Source organism: Homo sapiens, chromosome 1 (assembly GCF_000001405.40).
Source record: "Homo sapiens chromosome 1, GRCh38.p14 Primary Assembly".
NCBI classification, from domain to species: domain Eukaryota; kingdom Metazoa; phylum Chordata; class Mammalia; order Primates; family Hominidae; genus Homo; species Homo sapiens.
This window is the reverse complement of record NC_000001.11, coordinates 10,710,026-10,726,716: the sequence shown is the minus strand read 5'-3', so window position 1 is coordinate 10,726,716 and position 16,691 is coordinate 10,710,026. Positions and strand designations below refer to the sequence as shown.

Below are 16,691 nucleotides of genomic sequence, written 5' to 3'. Positions count from 1 at the left end.
TTCCTGGGTGCCCTGGGCAGCTCCTGCAGGAAAGGAATGCTAACGATCTGCTGGTGTAGTGAGCTGGCACCGCACCCAGGCAGGGGCCGCACAGCGCCAGGGCCTAGTAAAGACGCTGGCGAGGGCTCCATTCCCCGTGCCCGGTGTTTCCTCTGGCCGGATTGGCATGCAGCCTTCAGCTTGGCCTGAGGCGGCACGAGGAAAAGGTGGCATCCTCCACCGGCCCCAGCCTGGCCAGCCTGGAGGACTACACCGCCCTCCTCCTCCCTCCGGCTCCAGCCAGGAGGACTGTGATGGCCATGAGTATTTCATAGCATCTTCTGAAAGGAGATACGGAGTAGGCTGAGGATGGCGGCATCCCAGAGCGTGGCTGTTGGTCAGTAGCCCCAAGCTGGGGAGACCCGGTTTCACCTCCCCAAGCCTCATTTCCTCCTCCGTAAATGAGGGCATGAACAGTGGTGTCTCCTACAGGGTTTCTGTTGCTGTTTAATGAGGTGGTTTATAAAACCGACTTCACTCTGCCTGGGACGCGGTCAGCCCTCCATAAACACTAACAATTAATGGTCATGCTGGTGGTAGTAGCAGCAGTAGTAGTAGTACTGGTAGTAGTGGTGGTGGTGATAGTATAGGCCCTGCCCCATAGGTGGTTGGAGGCATCAATGAGATGGTACAGCCCCTGACAGATAGTGACTGCTCAGCAAATGCTAGCTGTCATTATTATTGCTATTACCATTATTTCCTAGTGCACTGAGGTGGAGCCTCACCCTGCTCTTGCTACTAAGGGATCCTGAGGATGCTGCCCCCTCCTAAGTCCGGCCCATCCTTCTAGAACATTCGGCAGGCCCTCTGGCCCCCTCAATGACTCTCTTACACCTGCCCTGCTGTCTTCAGGCCCCCCTTGCCATTCCCTCCCCACCCCACTGCCGCTGTCTTGTCACTCACCTGTCCAGGGTTCCCCAGGATCATCCTCTCTGGGGTCTCCTAGTAAAAAAAAAAAAAGGGCTTTCCAGAACCTGGCTTCCACCTCCTCCCCAAGCCTGGCCTCCCCCAGGCCTGGAGTGTGACTGGATTGTAACATGGTAGCTGAATGAACTCCAGTTTCAAAGGTTAATATCAAAATCTGGAGTGGATTACCTAAAAATTACTTACAACACCATTAAAATTCTGAACTCTTTTTGTTGTGGCTGTAAATTAATTTAAAATGTCAGGTTTTTTGAGAAATCCAATAAGAAATTGAGCCAACAGAGCAATCTGCAAACTGTCTGGCAAAGAGGAAAGTGTGTCTCTTCAATCGACAAGGAAAAATATGGAGCTTAACTGGAACCATATGGCTCAGTACTTGAGAGGAGCCTGCCGGAGAGGGAGGGCGGGAGGGGAGCTCAGCTGACAGCCACACGCATGCAGCGGGAGGCGGCCACGGTGTTGGCATTGGCACGGTGGAGGGGCCTGGCAGACGCCTGGCACCCAGCCTACTTGGCCGCCCTGTGTCCACGGTCACCGGGCTGCCCTGGGCAGTGACATGGTCACTCCTTGGTCTTAACACGTTCTCGCCGTATCCATCCAGGGCTCCCTGGCCAACTAGGGAATCCTACCCCCACCGAGGGGAGCCCAAGCCCCCTCCCTCCAGGGAAGAACAGCCACCTGCACGTCTGCGAGGGCTGCTTCCCTCCGTCCTCTGTGGGCTCCCTCCCGGCCAACATGTGGTCCCAATTACTCCTGAATTCCCCCAGATTTACAACACATTAAGTAATTTGTAGGTTATTTCAACTTCAATCTGCTGAAGTTGAGAAAATCAAAATTAAATTCAAACCACAAGGAAACTTCAGAGAAAGAGGAGAAAGAGAGAAGTTGAGCACCTTCTCTTCCCCAGGTTGGCTGTGTCCCCCTTATGTCATCCTCCGAGGCTCCCAGCCAGCCCCCCACCTGCCTTCCTCTGCCTCCTCTTCCCCGCCTTGCCTCTCCCTCCCAGGGCCCTTGCCCCTGCCTCTGGCTGGGCAGTGCCCTTGGGGTGCCCCTCTGAGCGAAGACCAGGGGCAACCTTGGAGCTCGTGCTAGGCCCTGCTTGCTTTGGCTGGGGGAGAAGTGCTTCTCTAACCTCTAACACTCTCTGCTCCCACTCCCTGAGCCCCTACCCCTGAGGGCTAGGTGATTCCTGGGCTCCAAAGCCTCTCTCTGCTTTCCTGACCCATTTCAAGGGAATCTCCACCAGGACTGTTCTAGCTCCCGACATGCCTGGGGTGGCTGACAGCTGGTAGGTACCACCTGGCCCCCGGGTTTAATAGCTCAGGTTACCTTATTTTGCTTTCTACCCTTTAAAACAGCCTTGTAAATAAGCAAACACTCGGTGCCAAGCACCTTCGGCACTTCGCCAGGCTGGTAAATATTTTAGTAGTGACTTGGTAACAGTTGCGTTCACTTTGATTTCCTCAGAAAGGTTCTTGGTGCTGGGGAGGGGGCCGTGGCTCTGGGAAATGATTTGCTGGCTATTTATAGCCCGGCTCTGACCACGTGGCCTTTGCTCTCACCCTGTGGATCGTGTGCTGGGGTATTTTTAAAGCTGGTGTAACGTTAGCCTGACACCTCTTTTGGCAAAGATGGGGAGGACTCTTCCACCTTCTCCCAAAGTGTGCTGTGGTCAAAGAGCTCCAAGGTCGGTTTGGAAAACTGGACTTGTCCTCACCAGGAATCCAAAGTGATATGGGAGGCTGGGGCAGGTGCTAGCGGTTGGGTGTGAGTTTAGGGTTGAACCCCTGCTGGCATGGTTTGGACTCGGGAAGAACCCCCAAAGAAGAGGAGAAGGTGGGCTCTGGGGCTGGGGCACATGACCCAGGCAGTGCTGAACTGGGGAGGCCACCTGAGACGGGTGGACTGAAGCTGACCGTGAGAGCAGCCAGGTTGCAGGGGGAGTTAGAGGGAAATGTGACCGCTGGATGAGCTTCCTGGGCATCTAGTCCTGAAGGACCCAGGCCATGGAGAAAAGAGAGTGGGAGACAGGGCCAAGGAAGATTCAGAGATGGGGGCAGCTTCCAGCCAGGGCTGCTGATTTGATGCCCTGGAGGGTCCTTTCCTCTAAGCCATGAGAAAGGCACCTGCAAAGCGCAGGACCCCATTGCCCAGTGCCAGGAAGCTGGCCTAACCCCACCCAAATTTGCCGTGTCCAACAGGGCATGTGCTGCCCCCAGGCTGGGCACCGGGGCAGGGGTGAGGCAGCAGGTGAGAGGCTGGCGCCTGGCTTGAATAGACTGCTCAGAGCCACAGCCAGTGGCTCCTCTGTTTTATGGGTGGTTTTAATGCACAGATGGGTTGGTTTTAAAGGGGCTCTAAATCATGGCACAGTGAGAGCCCCCACACCCCAGAGCCCCCTAGGAGGCTGTATCTGTGAGTGACTGTGGTATGGGCACAAGTGAAGTAGAAGCAAGGCCTGCCCCCACTCACTGTGCAGTGGTGATGGACAGGCCAGGGGGAGGTGGGCCCCTCTGGCTGGGTGTTCAGATGAAACCCTTCCTCTTGTCCCCCTACCCACCCACCATCCACACTGGCAGGCGGGGCCTTCCCACGTCCGGTTTACAGCCAGGGCACTGTTCAGTGACCAGCCAGCCTGCTGCCACTCCCAGCCACTTGCCCTTCCTCCTCTGGCTCCTGGCGCCATGATGCGCACCTCCCGTCTGCACCCACGCACACCCCATTGGTGCTCAGCTGCCGTGGGCGCACATCAGGTGAGCGCAGACAGTGGCAGACCCGGCTCACCTCCTTCCCGCAGGACTGGTGCCAGGGCAGTGCTCTTCCCGGAAGGCTTCCAAGCTCCCCCGGATGGCATCCTGTTGGGCCTGTTTCTGGGGTGCGGGGGCAGGCCTTTTTGGGGGGGAGAGTGTCTGCCCCATGCAGCCCTGGCGCCAGCTCTTCCTAGAGGCCTGTGGCAGTAATGCCAGAGGGAGGCAGCTGGGCTGGGGCAGGAGACAGGGATGTTTGAAATGGAAGTCGAGTGAGATGGGACCACCTTCAGCCACCACCACGGCTCTGCTGGGGGCAGACATGGAGCCCTGGGCCAGTCCGAATTGGTGCTCACTGGATACCTGCCTCTTAGCTGCCCCCCTGTGAGTGGGCCTTGCCCACTTGGGCTCCCAGCACCCAGTTTTCAGTGTCCTTGGAAACTTGGAGGAGTTCTGGGAAGGTGATAGGAAGATAGAAGAAGCCTTCTCCGAGCACCCAGAATGTTCGAGCTTGAATGGAAAGAGATCTGCCCTCGAAGGTACTCGGTCCCTAAGTCCGTGCCCTGTAGGCTCCCCTTGTTCGCTGGCCCGTGTGGGACGGAAGGCTGCTTTAGGGAATCTTTTTCTGCCCCTTGGCCTTGAGTTTGGAACTGCGTGGCACCAGAACCTTCTCATCCTTTACTGAGTGTCTTCAGCAAAACATGTTGTTTCCTCTCCAGTTCCCCCTTGGCGTTTGAGAATGGGGTGCCCGTCAACACTCACTCTCCTGCCTGTTCTCCCTAAAGCCATGGGGTAAAGGAAGCCTCATGGTCCTCTGAGGAGCCCTCATGGCCTCCTGAGCCGCTCAGGGGAGACGGTGGCTGTGACAGCTGACGGCCCACTTCAGTGCAGGTTGCGAAGGGGCGGGGCCAAGACGCAGGTGTCTGCCCAGACACAGCGGATGCCTGGTTCCAACGTTTCCATAGATGCCTGTGTCATCTTAACGAGCAGATGCTCTGCTGTGCCTCAGTTTCCCTAGGTGGCCTCTGTCAACAGGTGCTCAAGGTAAAAGATACAGCAGGAGAAACACAGGAAGAGACAGGTGGGAGTGGCAGCTGGGCGGACCCGAAGAGGCTGCCCTGGCCCCTCTTCTTCCCCTCGGCATGGGCCCGCCTCTGCTTCCTAGCAGGCAGGTCAGGCAGCAAAAAGGCAGTTGGCCTCCACCACGACCCAGAGACTTGCTGGGCTGAAGCTGCCTGAGGCCTCCCCAGGCCTGCCAGATCCGATAGAGGCTGGGGCCGTCCACTTCCTGGTTTGCAGGTCGGCACTTGCAGGTCAGTGGTGAGGTGCAGCTTAGGAGGGGAGGTCACTGGCGTACCCTCCACCCTCGTCCAGCCCCCCGTGGGCTCTGATGGCAAGGGGGCCACGCTGGCAGGTAGCCAGTTGCCCTGTTTCTCCTTGATGCCCGCATGGAACCAGTCCTGGTTTCAAGCTCCCTGCGAGCCGGGAATGGAGGAGATCCTATGAAAATGATGATATGTGACAATCAGTCACAGCAATTAGTGTTTTGGTTAACAGGCCTTTTTTGTTTTCTCTCACCCAGACAGAATGTCACAAATAAATCCTCTCCTGCATTTGCATATTAATTGGATCGGAGACGTCAAGCATCTTTCATTAAAGAAAATGATCTGCATATTTGGAGACATAAAATAGTTATTTTGATGGGTTTTTTTTTCCCTAAGATCAGGGGGTGGGGGAGGTAGGTGATAGGAGCAGTAGAAATTGAGGTAGAGTGAAGGAAAGCCAGCCAGCCCCTCTGTCTGGAGTTAACCCTGTGCAGTCTGGAGTTGGTGGCCAAGCTTGGCCAGAAAGATAATTAATAGGCAAATAAATCAAGGAGCCAAGGGGACCCTGGGCACCGGGCAGTTGCCTGAGGCCCAGGAGCCCAGCTTGGCTCCTGTACAAAAGGGACCCCCACCAGAGTTACGGGCGAGGAGGCAGGATGAGGGCCCTCTGTGGCTTTGCTCTTAAATCCCTCCCTCCAGAGCCGGTTGTGGCCCTGAGCAGGGTGAACTTCCCTGGGACGGTGGGTGGTAGGCAGGGCATGAGGTCGGGTGTCCACCTCGTGTCCTGGAGCCCTTGGCTGGGCCCACGCGGCACCCATGCCTGCCTCTCCCCTTGGTCCCTTGGCCAGCCCTAACCCTCCAGCTTCCACTCACCCTCCCTCAGCTCACCCACCGGCGTCCACTTCCTCCCCACTCTCTGACCTTGGGCTTCCCTACGCCCTTCTCATTCTTTGCCAGCCGTCCTCCCTCTCCCCAGATGGAAAGTTTTCTGGGGGCAGCAGAAGCGAAGCCTGGAGTCATTATCACATGTACTCGAAATAACCCAGAAAGCTGCTGGGCCCATATTAGGACATGAGTCCCGTGGAAAGCCGAGCGAATGTACAGTTTTTGATAGGCAAATGGGACTGCCCAAGTCTTCCCACCTTCCCCTCCAGCCTTACAGTCCAGGGCCTTGGTGGCTGCTTTCGTCAGTTTTCAGGGCAGGCAGTAGGGGTGGCCTCCTCTAGACATTTCTGAGCTTCCCCAGGCTCTTTGGGGAGCACAGTGGGAGGGCTGGTCAGTGCTGCCAGTCTCTCTGCCATCACCAGCCCCAAAGGCACGATTCCTAGTTACCATATCCTGGTTAGAGAAGTGTTTAGCGATGGCGATGATGATGACAATGATCACAATGATGACTGGCACCACATTTTCCACATAGAAATGTGTAGACACTTTGCTAAGAGCTTTACCCTCATCGCTTCCCCAAACCCTCACCACAGCCCCCTGCGACAGGCACGATCATCGCGTGCATTTTATAGACAAGGAAATTGAACCTCGGAGAGGCCAGATCACATGCCCATCGGTACCTACCAGACTTCAGAACTTGCAGCCGGATCCAAGCTCTCTGTGGCCAGGCCACAGGGCCTCTGGGCAGAGCAGTGGGGACCGGCAGCCGCCTGGCTCCTGGTTTGATCCCAGCTGACTATTCTTTTTGTGCGCAAACACACCGCACCCTGGTGCTGTCGGAGGACCTGTGTTCAGGCACCATATCTCTGCACTGCTGGCCTCTTCACTGCACCAAGAAGACAAGATTTGCCTCCTCTCAGGGGCTGGGAGCTGCCTCCGGTGGCTTCTGTGGGCCTTTGAACCCCGGAGGTGCCTGTTCCAGGCCTGTGGGGATCCCCCATGCTCTTTGTGTGCAGTTTTTGCTTGGAACGTTGAAGTGCCCAATTCCTCTATTCCCATACCCTGCTGCCTCTTCTCTCACTGTGCCAGGCTCTGGGACCCACGGGCTTCAGGATTGGGCAGTACCTGAGGGCATGGCCCAGCTCCCTGGTTGAATTGAGTCATGCATCTGCTCACCTGAGCCCCCGTTCCCCATGCCCTACAGGTGGCCAGCCTCTCCTCGTGCTCCAGGTGGACCTGAGTGTCCCTTAGAAACTTGTTCGGTGCCACCTTCCCCACAGCGCTGCTTCTTAGGGATCCCTTCTCCCAAGCACTCAGATTCTAAATGCATGGCGTGTGCAGCCTTAGGACATCACCTTGAATTTCAGGGTCCCTTGTCTTGGGCTACCATTCTCCACAGTTCGTGGGCAGGTTGCAGCTTTTCAGGTCTAAAGGGAAGGCAGTGGGGTACGGTCAAAAGAATGAGGGCTTTTGATTCAAATAGAAGAGAAACAGCCTTACTGTTCTTAGGAGCTGTGCCTTGCTGGCAGACCTCCCTTCTCCGAACCTCAGGCTCTCCCCTTACAAGAAAGGGGCACGGGGCCGGGTGCGGTGGCTCACGCCTGTAATCCCAGCACTTAGGGAGCCGGAAGCGGGCAGATTGCTTGAGGTCAGGAGTTCGAGACTAGTCTGGCCAACATGGTTGGAAACCCCACCTCCACTAAAAGTAAAAAAAAAATTAGCCAGGTGTGGTGGCGAGTGCCTGTAATCCCAGTTACTCGGGAGGCTGAGGCACAACAATTGCTTGAACCCGGAAAGCAGAGGTTGCAGTGAGCAGAGATCACACCAAGGAATTTGATGGCTTTATCAGAAATACCAAATGCACAAATGCACTCCAGCCTGGGCAACAGAGCAAGAGAGACCCTGTCTTAAAAAAAAAGAAAAGAAAAGAAAAAGAAAGAGGCAGTAATTCCTCTTGTGGGCAAGGTTCTGCAGAATGATTTGGCTCCTGCAGGTTAAGTGCCCAGTCATAGGTGTGGGATAGAGCAGACTCCTACGGATGCCAGTGGAGACGTTGTGGGCCTGGGTCTGCTGCCCACTCCCCAGTGGGTCAGGACTCCGGCAGGGTCTCCTGGGCTAAAGCATGGAGGTGACTGTGTCCCAAGGCACTGGCAGCTCTGCCCAGCCTGTTCCTTTCCCACCCTCTGGCCCTCAGCGACTTTGGCTGCATGTGCCTCTGGCAGGGCAGAACCAGAAGTGGGGGCCTAGTGGCCTTCCAATTTGGGGTTCTTGGAGAAGGAGCCTGGCGTGCCCTCCTTGGGGAGCAGGTGGACAGACTGGATGTTTTATGGAGTCTGGGGGAGTCCTGCGGCAGCTATATCTGTTAAATGCCAAGAAGCCAAGTTGGTTTAATATGATTGTAGCTGCTGCTTTGATAAATCAAAATAATTAAAAATAATAAATTTGATTCCTCAACCAACAGGCTGTGTGTGGGCGCAGGGCCTGGGCTGCCGAGTCAGGGCCGAGGAGGTGGGAGTGGGCACGGGGACACAGGAAGGCCTGTCTTGTGGGATCCTAAATGGGGAGTGGACGGCAACAGGGCGGAAGGGGAGACTGCGAACCAGTCGGGGGAGGAACATCTCTCACTTAGCAGAGCCGAGCCCTGCTGTCCACAAGCCTGGGCTGGGGCCCCAGCTGGGCCTGCCCCTGGCCCTGTGGCATTGGGCCAGCCTCAGTTTCCTCATCTGTCAAATGGGAAGGCAGTTCCACCCACCTCCCAGGGATGTGTGAAGTCAGGCTTTGCTGAGTGTGTCTGCCCAGTGTTGAATGGGCCTCCGTAGCCCCCTCGGCCCGTCCCTGCACCCGCTTTGGTCGCTGAGGCGACCAGGCGTGCTCGCAGCGGCTGCACAGCCTTAAAGGCCCACCAGCCTGCCCGGACTCTTCCTCCCACTGATGGCTGTTGTCCTACCACAGGATTGTTCTGTTTATGAGGACGTCCTCCGGTGCAGGACGTCTCTATTCATAGCTCCCTTCGGCTTCCAGAGTTGGGTCAGGAAGCCCCATGCCACGCCCTGGGACCGAGTTCAGGGTGCCGGCAGCTCTGACATCAGTTGGGGGGGAATTGGCAAGGGTTTTCTACCTCCGCCCCTGTCCCCTGCCCCCTGCCCCCCATCCATGTCCTCAGGAGCCGTATTTGGTGTCTGATCCCAAAGTGTCTGAGCAGCTGGAAATCTGAACTGGTTGGAGGGGGCAGGGGCTGGTGAGGAGGGAGGGACAGGGTGTCTGTCTCTTTAAATGCACTTTGTGTCAGTGCGATAAGGAATTTGATGGCTTTATCAGAAATACCAAAGCTTTATTTAGCAGGGTGAGGCTCACACCACTCAGCTCCACACAACCTGCTGATAAATAGCAAAAAAGAAAAGAAAAGAAAAAAAAACCTCCAACAACTCACCAACACCCCAGCACGGCAAGGCAGGAAAGATGCATCGGACAGAAAGGCAGAGAAGCCAAGTGGGAAGTTTGGGGAACTGGGGAGCTGCAGAGGCTGGGGGTGGGGTGAGTGGGTTCCGTGGGAACTGCAGGGGCTTTTTGGAAAGTGCTGATAGGCAGGCGTTCGTAGATTTTTCTGTCATTAGGTAAAAATACTATAATGATTTTGATTCTTCCAGAGAAAGGGCTTATTAAGGAGACACGCCCTCCCCAGTGTCCTCGCTGGCCGTCTGTCCCTCCTGCTCCTGTCCCTCCAGCAGCCCAGCCCATCTGAGTCTCTCTAGGGGAGCCCTGAGGCCCAGCCCTCTGCTAGGTCTGTGCCCCGCCTGCCTGTGCTGGTGAAGGCAGGGGCAGCCTTGAGATGGGGGAGAAGTTTGACCGAACGTAAAAGAGACTGCCAGGGAGAGAGAGCCGCCTGTCATTGCAACTCCAAGAAAGGGACCCCCGCTCTGTACAATGTGGCTAAGGAAGCTGGAGAGGGGAAGGCTTGAGAAAGCCTTTGGGGGATGGACTGACTCCATGCTCAGGGCCGGGTCTCAGCCCAGGGAGGTGGCCTGGCCCTGCCTACTAGTGGCATTCCAGGACTTTCTGTGCTACCTGCCACTGGGCAGCTCTTGGGGAGCCCCTCCATCCTGGCCAGTCTAGATTTATTGTGCTGTCTAGAGGGTCAGCAGAACAGCAGAGTGCCACTTCCGCCTGTTCTTCCTCTTCTTACTCTCTGCACCGGGGCATTCGTTCTGCTGCTCTCGCTTGGGGAGCCCCTTCCCTTGGGTCTGGCTTTACGCTCAGCACAGGGGCTCAAGTGCAGCCACCCTCAGTATCCCCCCAGATGGTCCATACGTCTCCCTCTGCCCACTGCTCCCCATGAATCTTTTGATGTGAGCAAGCCAGATTTAAGCCGGGGTCCCCATCCATGCCTCTCTGCCTGTGCCTCTTCTAGCCGGCTTGTGCATGTGACTTCCTCTGGAAATGGAGGCAGGTATCAGCACTCCGGGTCTACCCGAGAGCCATGTGGATGGGGAGCGGATTGGGTGCTGTGGAGTGTGGATTGGGTGCTGTGGGGTGGGGATTGGGTGCTATGGGGTGGGGATTGGGTGCTGTGAGTGTGGATTGGGTGCTGTGGGGAGCAGATTGGGTGCTGTGGAGAGCGGATTGGGTGCTGTGGGTTGTGGATTGGGTGCTGTGGGGAGCGGATTGGGTGCTGTGGGGTGTGGATTGGGTGCTGTGGGTGTGGATTGGGTGCTGTGGGGTGCGGATTGGGTGCTGTGGGGTGCGGATTGGGTGCTGTGGGTTGTGGATTGGGTGCTGTGGGGTGTGGATTGGGTGCTGTGGGGAGCGGATTGGGTGCTGTGGGGAGCGGATTGGGTGCTGTGGGGTGTGGATTGGGTGCTGTGGGAAGCGGATTGGGTGCTGTGGGGAGAGGATTGGGTGCTCTGGGGTGTGGATTGGGTGCTGCCGGGAGAGGATTGGGTGCTGCGGGGAGTGGATTGGGTGCTGTAGGTGCGGATTGGATGCTGTGGGGTGTGGATTGGGTGCTGTGGGTGTGGATTGGGTGCTGTGGGGTGTGGATTGGGTGCTGTGGGGAGCGGATTGGGTGCTGTGGGGAGCGGATTGGGTGCTCTGGGGTGTGGATTGGGTGCTGCAGGGAGCGGATTGGGTGCTGTGGGGTGCGGATTGGGTGCTGTGGGGTGCGGATTGGGTGCTGTGGGGAGCGGATTGGGTGCTGTGGGGTGCGGATTGGGTGCTGTGAGGTGCGGATTGGATGCTGTGGGGTGTGGATTGGGTGCTGTGGGGGGCGGATTGGGTGCTGTGGGGTGTGGATTGGGTGCTGTGGGGAGAGGATTGGGTGCTGTGGGGAGTGGAGGAGGCATCTCTGCTGCCTCTCTCTGCCCGGCTGCTCCCAGGCTCCTTGTCCCTTCCTAATGGCACGATCCAACAGAGCCAAGGGCTTGGGGTTCTCACCGCAGATCCTGCCTAGCGCGGGTACAGGACTGCTTCTACCATCGTAGACAGTCACCAAGAGGTGACTCACAGAGTTGGTTGAGGAAGAGAGGTCTCTGCCCACATAGTTGTCCCCAAACATGGCCGAGAGGCCAAAGCTTGCCAAGGCCCACAAGCCGACCCCTCAAACAGGATGGAGGTTGCTGAGGCCAGAGGATGCTTCTGGGGCAGTTATGCGGAGCCCAGAGTTGGGCCAACCGGAGGCCAGGGTGGGCTGACTCGGAGAGTAACTCTGAACTGGACACCTAGTCCCTGGAGCCGAGGAAAGGTGGAGCCCGTGTGCTCCCTAAAGTCAGCTAATGGAAGGAAGGGAACCTGGACCAAGGTTAGGCCCGCGGCTGAGCGGCGGCAGGTGGGTCTCATAGGAATTCCTCGGCTTTGGATGCTGGAGCAACAGGACTGGCATGGCTGCTTGGGGAGGGCCAATGCTGGGCTGGGTGGAGACAAGGCAGCTCTGAGGAGAGGGTGGGGGTTGGGCTGGCCAGGGAAGGGGCAGAGGGTGGAGGAAACTGCAGAAAGGCCGAGGCCTGGAGACAGACAGGAGGAATAAATGGAAGTGACAGGGTCAGGCCAGACCTTTGTCCTGCAGCCTGATTAGAGAGTCTGCCCTGGATTTCTGAAACTTTGGGATGTTGTCGGACAAACTGGAGCTTAATTCTGTCAGAGCGCTGGGGAGATTAGAATTGACATCCTGGGAGCACATTCCTGGCTGGGCAGAAATCCAGCCCCCGCTGGGAAAAACCTGTGAAAGCACGGCCAGCCCAGTGGTGGTGGCGGGGGGTGCCCGTCAGCACCAGTGGCCACTCCAGCCTCGTGGGCCGGAGCCAGGAGCACTGGGAGGGCCGGTCGTTGGAAGGCTCTGGCGTAGTGGAAGGTGTGGAGGCTCAGCAGAGCCACTGCCGAGTCTGAGTTCCAGTTCTGTGCCTCATCCTAGCTGTGCTGCCTCGGGCAGGGAGCTTAAGTTTCTTTCTTTCTTTCCTTTCTTTCCTTTCTTCCCTTTCTTTCTTTCTTTCTTTCTTTGAGATGGAGTCTTGTTCTGTTGCCCAGGCTGGAGTGCAGTGGCACGATCTCGGCTCACTGCAACCTCCACCTCCCAGGTGCAAGCGATTCTCCTGCCTCAGCCTCCTCAGTAGCGGGACTACTACAGGTGCGTGCCACCACACCGGCTAATTTTTGTATTTTTCATAGAGACGGGGTTTCACCATGTTGGCCAGGCTGGTCTCGAACTCGTGACCTCAGGTGATCCACCTGCCTCAGCCTCCCAAAATGCTGGGATTACAGGTGTGAGCCACCACGCCTGGCAAGAGCTTGTTTCTTAACCTTCATTTTCTTATCTGTAAAATGGGACAGTCTGCCTCTGGACCCACTGAATTTTCTTCTCCTTTGAAGTTGAAGGCGTAACCTTGGGAAGCCAAGAGGGATGGGTCAGACGGTGGTGGAGCTCCTGAGCCAGGGCCTGCTGGAAGACAGAGAAGGTTCCCCTTGCAGAGTTTTCTGGCACAGGGGCGGCCAGCAATGCCAACCCGGCAGGGCTCTCTGGCTCAAGCATGTGAGAGGTGGCTGTCCCCACACGACGTGTGTCCTTTCCATCAGCCACCTGTCCTCATCAAGCCTGGAGAAGCCCAGCAGGGGACTTAGAGATGGCCTTGTCTCTCTGTAAGAGCTCCCAGGAAATCCTCACCCAAACGAAGAGAGCTGAGGGAAACAGATGGAGGCCTGCCTTCCGGGAGCCTCCAGTCCAGGATGGCTGGCCTTAGAACCAGAGAGGGGGTTAGAGGACTATAGTGAGGGCCAAGCGCCACAGCCCCAAACCAGGCTGTTTCCGGAAGAACAGGGTACCCCTCCTCACATCCCTCCTGACTCTAATGACTCTTAAATTGTAGTAAATATTTTGGCTAATGTAGGCTCTCATGGCAGAGAGCAAAGCTGTCTGCAGTTCAGGACCTACAAATTATTTATTAAAGATTTGAGATGCAGTGCAATTATGTGGAAAGAACCCAAAAAATTAAATAAATAAGTAACAAAATAAATAAATAACAGCCCCACTGGCCTCTTGAAGGCTTGGGAGCGGCACATGATTGCCGTCTTGATGAAATCCCCCCGGATGTAATGAGCTGATTTTCTGCTGTTAATATTGCATCTGCTGATGAAGGATTCGTTAGGATAATGGAACGAAGCTAAAATATAAATGACTCCCTGTCAAGAAGCAGCTTTTGTTTGTTGATCTCCTGACAGTTCCTGGGCCAAGGCAGGGGTTTATATATGTACACGCATTCTGGAACAGGCAGGAGGGCGGGGGCAGGAGCTTGAGGGGGCTGCCCCACGAGCCTGGCTCCCTGGTTATTCCAGGCTTTCCCTTCGAGGTGGGGCTCCTCGACCTTGGGAAGCCCTGGAGCCCTGTGGGTGGGGAAGTCATCGACTCAGACCCATCCAGAGGGGCGCTTGTTGCACTAAGATGCTGAGCGGCAGCAAAAGTTATCTGGGGAGCATGGTGGAGAGATGGATTGGCTGGGCCGTGTGTATTGGGATCCGCACAGGAGAAGCGCTGTGTGTGTGCCGGGAACGGCAGCCCGCGGGGGTGCGGAATCACAGGCACTTGAGCGGGGGGGTCCTAAGGGGAGGTCCCTTCACTGCAACCATCCTAGCCTTTCTGCCTCGTCCTCTCCCTCAGTGATCACACAGCACATCCTGTGGAGCCCCGGGAGCCCCACTCGGATGGTGGATTCTCAAGCAGAGGGGGAAAGAGGGCCCATTTGAAGTCACCGTGTCTCACCTACCCACCCCCCTGGCTTGGCTTCCCCAGCACCTGCCCTGAGCTGCCACATGGGGACAAATTCCTTCTCTCCCTAGCAGTTGCTTTTTTAAAAAAGCGATATCATTTTATTTTACTTTATGGTGGCAAAATGCACACACCGTAAAATTTACCATTGTAACCATTTTATTTTATTTTACTTTATTTTATTTTATTTATGTATTTATTTGAGACAGAGTCTCACTCTTGTCTTCCAGGCTGGAGTGCAATGAGGCGATTGTGGCTCACTGCAACTTCCACCTCCTAGGTTCAAGTGATTTTCCTGCCTCAGCCTCCCGAGTAGCTGGGATTACAGGCGCCCACCACCATGCCCGGCTACTTTTTGTATTTTTAGTAGAGACGGGGTTTCATCATGTTGGCCAGACTGGTCTCCAACTCCTGACCTCAAGTGATCTGCCTGCCTTGGTCTCCCGAAGTGCTGGGATTACAGGCATGAACCACCACGCCCGGCCTGTAATCACTTTAAAGTATAGAAATCAGTGGCATCAAGTACGTTTGCAGAGTTGCACAACTATTAAGCTAGTTCCAGAACTTTTTCATCACTCCAGACAGAAACCCTGAACCCCTTAGCAGTCCCTCCTCACTGTCCCCTTCCCCCAGTCCCTGGCAACCACTGCTTTCTGTCTCTGTGGATTTGCCTGTTCCGGATATTCCATATTAATGGAATCATACAACTTGTGGCCTATTGTGTCTGTCTGGCTCCTTTCTCGTTCAACATTTCCAGGTCTATCCACATTGTAGCCCATATCAGAACTTCACTCCTTTTTTATAGCTGAATAATATTCAATAGTATGGACAGACTCCATGTTGTATGTCCATTTCTCAGTCCATGGACACTTGAATTGTATCTACCATCTGACTACTGTGAATAGTGCTGCTATGAACATTCATGCACAAGGTTTTGTTTGTTTTTCTTTTTTTTTTTTTTTTGAGTACCTGTTTTCCATTTTTTCTGGTATATGCCTGGGAATGGAATTGCACCATCTCTCCTAGCTTCTTAAAGGCAGGGACCCTGGAAACTAATAAGAGGCCATATTTATTGAGCACTTGCTATGTGCCACCTACTGTGCTAACCATTATTTCCGCGAGTCCTCAACAGCACAGGAATGGAAGCTCCCTGAGGGTTGAGTCTTTGGTTTGCCAATGTTCTCTAGGTCTAGGACAAGGATCTAATAGCATGTAGTAGGTGCCCAAGAAATACTGAATGAACTTCCTTTGAGCTAGGTACTCATGGGCCCCCACTTTTCAATGGAAGAAGCTGGGGCCTGGAGAGGTTAAGCAGCCTGCGTACCCAATTGCATGGCAGGAGGCAGCAGAGGCAGGATTCAAACTCAATTCTCACCAACTCGACTTTTGTATGCTGTCTTTTTCTTTTTTCTCCCCCCAAGACGGAGTCTCGCTCTGTCGCCCAGGCTGGAGTGTAGTTGCATGATCTCAGCTCACTGCAACCTCTGCCTCCCGGGTTCAAATGATTCTCACGCCTCAGCCTCCCGAGTAGCTGGGATTACAGGCGTGCACCACCACACCCGGCTAATATTTGTATTTTTAGTAGAGACAGGGTTTCACCATATTGGCCAGGCTGGTTTCAAACTCCTGACCTCAGGTGATCTGCCCACCTTGGCCTCCCAAAGTGCTGGGATTACATGAGCTACTGCCCCCGGCCTTTTGTAAGCTTCTTGTTTTCTCTTCCTTGTGCCTGGCACAGCGTCACGCACACAGTGTGTGCTCAGTGAGTGCCTGATGATCTCGCTGTGGAGCAGGGACAAGAGAGATCTAGGGTCACTTGACCTGGCACAGGGGCTGGGGAAAGCCTGGAGCAGGTGTTGTCTTTCTGTGCATCTGTTGGCGACGTGCCTGTCTGTTGAGAGGAGGCACTGCCTACCACGCTGAGCCCTGAGCTGGCAGAGACTGGAGTGGGCACTGCTAAGCACCCTCCCAGCACCTGGGAAAATCTTCTTGCTGACTCCTTTGCCAGAACCACTCCTCATCTTGACCTTCAAGGCCCTTAGAGAAAAGGAGAGCAAACTAGGCCACCAACTTGGACCCTTCCTCCTGGGGAGACTAGGGGTCCTGCCCAAGAAGATCGGGCAGGGCCACTGGGAAATGGAGGCGTTGCTTCCTCCTAAGGGGGTCTCAGGAGGGGTGGGGAGGCCAGCTTTTCTCCTGGAGCCTTGAGAGAGTCAGGCAGGGCCTCGAATTCACCATTGAAGTCCCTGGCCAGGCATGGGGACCACATAGGGCAACATCCCATGAAGGACTTGAGGCCCTGACTGGGGAAGGTCCAAGACAGGCAAAGGTGGGCTGGAAGCTGGTGCTGAGCCAGCCTCAGGGTGGAGGGTCAAGTTGAGGTCTCCTGCTTTTTAAAAATTACTATGATTAAAAACACTTCTTAAGCCAGGTCTTGGGAGAGCAAGGTGGGAAAACCCATTTCCTGTCCCCAAAGGACGAGGGCCCTTCCTCTTGACCCTATGTAGACTTTTCAGGTTCCTG

The 16,691-nt window shown here is 55.5% G+C and overlaps 1 protein-coding gene across 4 annotated transcripts in view, besides 2 other annotated features; it reads left to right on the top strand.

The window, feature by feature from the left end:
- CASZ1 (castor zinc finger 1) overlaps positions 1 to 16,691 on the top strand; it is a 160,043-nt gene that overhangs the window by 69,930 nt on the left and 73,422 nt on the right. The window lies entirely within an intron of this gene.
- Positions 5,030 to 5,535: an enhancer, noted in NCBI's record as "VISTA enhancer hs389". NCBI's record gives its function as "enhancer in: heart[3/8]" and the evidence as "EXISTENCE:transgenic organism evidence [ECO:0001131][PMID:17130149]".
- Positions 13,877 to 14,421: an enhancer, noted in NCBI's record as "H3K4me1 hESC enhancer chr1:10772353-10772897 (GRCh37/hg19 assembly coordinates)". NCBI's record gives its function as "activates a minimal SCP1, AML or CMV promoter by ChIP-STARR-seq in naive H9 embryonic stem cells {active_cell/tissue: H9 hESC(naive)}" and the evidence as "EXISTENCE:reporter gene assay evidence [ECO:0000049][PMID:30033119]".